The 6,365-nt window shown below is 40.1% G+C and overlaps 1 protein-coding gene across 41 annotated transcripts in view; it reads right to left on the bottom strand.

Annotated features, from left to right (window-relative positions):
* The window catches only part of KIAA1217, an 853,117-nt gene that overhangs the window by 94,373 nt on the left and 752,379 nt on the right, over positions 1-6,365 (bottom strand). For 11 of the 41 annotated variants that reach the window (XM_017016424.2, XM_047425526.1, XM_047425528.1 and 8 more), the window contains exon 1: positions 3,707-4,057. The exons of the other annotated variants lie outside the window; for them this stretch is intronic. The gene's annotated coding sequence lies outside the window, so the exon portion shown is untranslated. Of the gene's footprint in view, positions 1-3,706; positions 4,058-6,365 lie in introns of those variants that run through there. 41 annotated transcript variants of the gene reach the window in all.

Genomic DNA, 6,365 nt, shown 5'->3' with positions numbered 1-6,365 from the left:
TAAATCTGGTTAGTTTAAAATCCATTTATTTTTAGTCCAGGCTCATGCATTTCCAATTAATCAGCTCTGGCCTAACTACAGGATTTCTGGTTCTCTTTTAGTAAGATAATCCAGAAAAGAGAGTTGTCCTGCTTTCTAGAGGATTAGCGAAAGCTGGCTGGACTCAGGTACCACAAAAGATGGCTAAGAGAAGTCAAATAGATAGTCAAATAGATAGTGTTTTTCTAAATCAATCAAGAAGACAAACCTCATAAGATCCAGAGGGGTGAGAACAAAAGCAGAGAACAGGCTGAAATGGCACTGCATAGAGACAAGGGTCTGGTCTTGGGAACGGTGACTTGAGATCCAGCCCTATTTTTGTCACTTCTTTATTTTGTGATCTTGACCATCTCACTCCAACCACTCTGGAACTCCTGGGTCTCAGGTTACAGGGCAATGGGTTACAAAAGATGATGTCTAAGACCTTCTTTCTATTTCAAAAATCCTACGACTCCAAATAAGTCAGGCCTCTTTCTTTCTTTTTTTCATTTTTAATTTTTGTGCCAACAGAGTAGGTGTATATATTTATGGGTTACATGAGATATTTTGATACAGCATGCAATGTGTAATAATCGCATCAGGGTAAATGGGGTGTCTGTCACCTCAAGCATTTATCCTTTGTGTTACAACATTTCAGCTATACTCTTTTAGTTATTTTTAAAAGTACAATTAAATTATTTTTGACTATAGGCATTCTGTTGTGCTAGCAAATACTAGGTCTCATTCATTCTATTTTTTTTTTTTTTTTTTTTGAGACAGTCTTGCTTTGTCACTCAGGCTGGAGTGCAGTGGTGCGATCTCGGCTCACTGCAAGCTCAAACTCCCGGGTTCACCCCATTCTCCTGCCTCAGCCTCCCGAGTAGCTGGGACTACAGGCGCCCGCCACCACGCCCAGCTAATTTTTTTTTTTTTTTGTATTTTAAGTAGAGACGGGGTTTCACTGTGTTAGCCAGGATGGTCTTGATCTCCTGACCTCATGATCCGCCCGCCTCGGCCTCCCAAAGTGCTGGAAATACAGGCGTGAACCACCGTGCCCGGCCGTCTCATTCATTCCTGCTAAATGATTTTTCTGTACCATTAACCGTCTTTTAAAAAATTATTATTAGTTTCAGTGCTGTTTCTTGAGGGAGCACCGGTGGTGCAGGTCAGGTTTGTCTTCTCAATTACAAGTCTGCAGTAGCCAGCTCTAGTTCCTCAAAAGCGGACAGAGTATCTATGACTTCTGCAAACCACATGCAAGCAGAGATCACCTGCTCCACAAGAAAAACTAGGACAGAAGAAAATGTGTTACCAGTAGGCAAAATGTATCTTAAAAACACTTTTTTCTTTTTAAAAGATTAACGTGTTCTCTCCCTACCCCCAAATTTATATAAAAGTAACACATGCTCATTTGAGAAATGTTAGAAACAGCATCAAGAGAAAAATGGTCCCCTGGAAGCCCTCTATAGAGTAGGGTCTGGGACTCGGGGCGCCTAGGCTGATGTGGTAGACAACAGCCTAGTATGGTCTGGGATGCCTTGCTGGGCACCCACAAAGAACACAGAAAAGCAAGACCTCAGCAAGTGAACAACATGCAGGTACAAGGGATGCAACTTGAAAATGAAAGGACATATGTCCCCAGTCAAAAGCAATCTCCGCCAACACCTATACTTATAAGAGCAAAGAAAAGGGATGTGGTTTGGATATCAAAGGGCAGAGGGATGTGGCAAAAACCTCTCATGTGCACTCCAGCCAGCCACGGCTCAGAACTCTTCGGGAGCTAACCCTAGGACCTGTTGGGGAGAAGGAAGGTTCTGCTCCAATCAACTTTGAGTTGTGTTGGTTGTGTAGCCAATCCTGGATTTTATGCTGAACTGGGGCTGGAAGCCTTGATCCTGAAGCCTGTGTTGTGAGCAGCTGCATCCCCTGTTGATGCTGTTAGCAGTAATTACTTTGCATTACAAATCACCAGGATATTTTTGCTGCTGTGTTGATGTCTCAATCTTCAGGAGGAGGTGGGAAGAGCACTGTTGAAGGTGAAGTTCGGGCTCTCAGGCAGCTGAGCCAGCTGCCCTAACTTCAGAACCCTCCACCTTCAGCCTTAACATTCTTCCTGTCCCCCTCCTGAGAGCTCTGCCAGCAGCCTGAAGGGCAGTGGGCAGGCACAGTTAGCCAGTCTCCATTCAAAGATACTTTCTTGCTCCCAAATCAAGCTCACAAACAAGCTTCCTGCTCTGTCCTATGGAAACATTTTTTTATGAGCAACACGGCACATGAAGCAAAGAAGAGAGCAGGAAAGGTCTGTGTAGTAAAGAAGGAAGAGTCGTTTATCCAAAGTGCTTTTCTCTATCTCTACACTCTCTGATGTTCACTGTTTTCATTATGCTCTGAGTAAGTTGTAACCAGGTCCCTGGATAAACAACCAGTGTGATACTAGGTTTTGGATGCTACAGATCTAAAATAAAATAAAATTCCAGAAAAGTAAAAAATAGTTTATCCTGAAGCCACGTAAACATTATATATTATTATTATTTTCAAGATAAGTCATCTATATTTGATTACAGACCTGAAGCTCTCAGCTACTATTGAGGCTGTGCTGTCCAGGACTTAAAAACAAGGAAGACAGTCAGCCTGGATTTAAATCCCAGCTCTGTTACTTACAAGTGTGTGATCTTGATCTTGTTCCTCTCTGAGCCTTGGTTTTCCAAACTTAAAATGGGTGTAATAGTACCTATTCCATAGGGTTATCATGATGACTAAATAGAATAATAGATATTACGTAAACCACATTGGATAACAACTTCTCAGGTATATTAACTCATCTATAAACTGGGATAAAGATATCCACAGAAATATGAACAAGCAAATTCATGAACACATGTACTTTTGAAAGGAAACAGACTGATTTAAAAGGACATTGCTCTTATTAAATTCCTTTAAAGGAAATCAATGCAAAAATATTGTGAGTGAATTACTGCAAGAGTTGACAGAATAGTTATCTCAAGTAAACAAGATTTCTGTCAAAGACTTTTTCAGGCAATCACTAAACCTGCTATAAGAGATTTGTTATATCAAGCTTGTCATTTAAAACTGTAGAAGTTTTTAATGTGATTTCATACAGATTAAACTGCTATTTCTTTAAAATTTTTTCAAGACCAGGATAAAGGTTATTTTTATTTTTAAATTTAAAGTGATTTTCACAAGAACAAAACACCAAATAATTTTTCCCTGGAATGTTAAAGGACACATATGAATTTCCCTCCTTGCTTGTACCATGCCTTCAAATTATCGACTTTGCCTCAGACACTGAATGTATGTCAACAACTTCATGAAAACACTGAAAATTGTCACAGAGCACATAAATCAACAAGACCTGTAAAAGCAAACTGTGTTGGCACTTTAAATCCCATTCCAAATTATAAGGTTAGCCAGAAACTAGACCACAAGATTTATAGATTGAAGACCAGCCCAGTTTAATTTAAGTGGATTTCAAAAAAACAGAATAATGTCAATAACAAAGAGAGGTTTTCTTCTAGGCAGTGTGCAAGAAGTTAAAATAAAACCTAAAATTGCAATCGCCTATTGCATTGAACTTGAATACAGAAGACAAGTTAATGAAAGATAAACGTGCCAGAGCATGAAAAAAGATTCTAAAGATAATATCCTATCATAAAGGCACAGTTCTTACCTTACATTTTCCGTGAGCCTTTCTTTTCTAGAAGAAACTTTCTAGACTTGCAGAGACCTCGAAACCACCCCTCTCTCCAATGCTTTCAGCTTTGCCTGTCTTCATGGTGACTAAATGCAAGCCTTGGGTTTTTTACAGAAGGAAGCTTTTAGTCAAAATATGTGGTTTAAAGGAGCAGTATCCACTCTTGTTAAAACTATTTCACGGACATTCAGAGGTTTTGTTTCTACTCTATGAAAGTTAATTCTGAGTAGGAAGGCATTTTTCCTGTCCCGGAAATCAGCATAACTAAAACCAATGCTGAACTAACGAGAAATGTTTCTTCCATGTGTTCTGTCTGGCAGAAACTGCAAGCCATATCAAGGAAACACGTGATGTTTATAAATACAATATGGCTCATGTTGTCATAACCTCTCAATGACAAAAAATAAAAAAAAAAATAGTACAAGGAAAAGCAAGCAGCCACGCAGCAGGAAAGATGAGATTTGTATCACTTGGAAGTTGCATATCAGATGTGCATATATTACCTTTTCTTGCTTCTAAAAAATAAGACTTTATAACTGGAAGCAGAGAAGGAACAAGAAAATATCTCCCATGTTCTGGACAGCCACTGTATTCAAATGTGTTTGCCTAGCTAATCATTTCTGTAAGAGTCCTTCCTTATCAATCATAACAGAAACATCTTTTTGCCTCCCAGAAAAGCACAATATAAAAAAGATATCATTATGTATATCACTCATAAATGAGTTCCATAGTGTTAACTCCAGCAAATTATAGAACACAGGCAAGGATTTCATGAGCCTGAACTTATGTGAAAAATTATAGATGTCTGTATCATTATTGATTATTGAGTTAATTGATTATTGTCTGTATCATTATTGCTTTTTGCCAATATATCTTCAGGATCTTGCATGAGAGCTGAGACCAGAGGAAGGATCTGACTCACTATGGCTGATTGAGTGAATCAGTAAACGCTTACAGTAATGAAGTTAGGTTAACTGTTCAAAAATCATCACCCTTACGGTGTAAGTTTAGAGATATTTGAAATACTGACTATCGACTCAATCTAAAAGCAAGGGGCCAGGCACAGTGGCTCATGCCTGTAATCCCAGCACTTTGGAAGGCATGGAGGGAGGATCCCTGGAGCCTAGGAGTTCAAAGCCAGCCTGGGCAACATAGGGAGACTGTGTCTCTACAAAGAATTCAGAAAATTAGCCAAGTATTGTGGTGTGTGCCAGTAGTTCCAGCTAATCAGGAGGCTGGGGCAGAGGATCACTTGAGCCAGGGAGGCTGAGGCTGCAGTGAGCCATGATTGTGCCACTGCATTCCAAACTGGGTGACAGAGCAAGACCCTGCCTTCAAAATAAAATAAAAATAAAGCAAAATAAAAGCAAGATTTCTCCTAGTGAATTATAAACACAGCAAAATCAGATCTATCTTATTTAGATTTGTTGTCTAGGGATTTAGTTTACGTTCTACCACAGGTGAATTCAACTCCTGAAAACTCCAGCCCCCCCCACGCAAAAAAAGGTTAGATAACTGTGTATTTCTGATGAACACTTATTTTAATCTGACAAAGCAGATTTTTTCTTTATTGTTATTCTTAAACTTCAGGGTTATTAACTTCTTTTTTTTTGAGGTGGAGACTCACTCTGTCACCAGGCTGGAGTACAGTGGTGTGATCTTGGCTCACTGCAATCTCTGCCTCCGGGGTTCAAGTGATTCTCCTGCCTCAGCCTCCTGAGTAGCTGGGACTATAGGCACGCGCCACCACACCCAGCTAATTTTTGTATTTTTAGTAGAGATAGGGTTTCACCATCTTGGCCAGGATGGTCTTGATCTCTTGACCTCGTGATCTGCCCGCCTCAGCCTCCCAAAGTGCTGGGATTACAGGTGTGAGCCACCGCGCTCAGCCCAGGGTAATTAACTTCTATCAAATTATACTGATAGACTGAGGAAAGGCAGACATTCTTATTTCTCATTTGGGTCAGTGGCCAATAGCGGGATACATTAGGTAATGTGCTATAAGCCTCAAACACGTACCTTTACAAATCACTGTATCGCTCTTAGTAGATAAGGCACTAATTAACTGAAAGTTGGTGATAGAAAAGGGCTGAAGTAAGTATCTTTTTCTATCCAGGTATTTAATGAGAATCTACTCAGGGCAGGGCATTGTCCGAGAGAGCCACAGGGAGCGTGAAGATGAATGAAATGGAGACCCTGTCCCTGAGAAGCTTAGAGCTGAAAGACACTTAAGACGTGTGGACAGAAAACCAAACACCACATGTTCTCACTCATAGGTGGGAATTGAACAATGAGAACACTTGGACACAGGGTGGGGAACATCACACACCGGGGCCTGTTGTGGGGTGGGAGGAGTGGGGAGGCATAGCATTAGGAGATATACCTAATGTAATGACGAGTTAATGGGTGCAGCACACCAACATGGCACATGTATACATATATAACACATTGTGCACATGTACCCCAGAACTTAAAGTATAAAATAAATAGATAAATAAATAAATAAATATATAAATCATTCATTAAAAAAAGAATAAAATGGTGAAAGGAAAAGAAAAAGAAGCGTGCATCAATAACTCAGTGCAGTCAGGAAAAGGGGAGTGCACAAAGAGAGCGGGGCAGGGAGGTGAAGTTC

This window comes from Homo sapiens, chromosome 10, assembly GCF_000001405.40.
Source record: "Homo sapiens chromosome 10, GRCh38.p14 Primary Assembly".
NCBI classification, from domain to species: Eukaryota; Metazoa; Chordata; class Mammalia; order Primates; family Hominidae; genus Homo; species Homo sapiens.
This window is presented reverse-complemented; position numbering and strand designations above follow the sequence as displayed.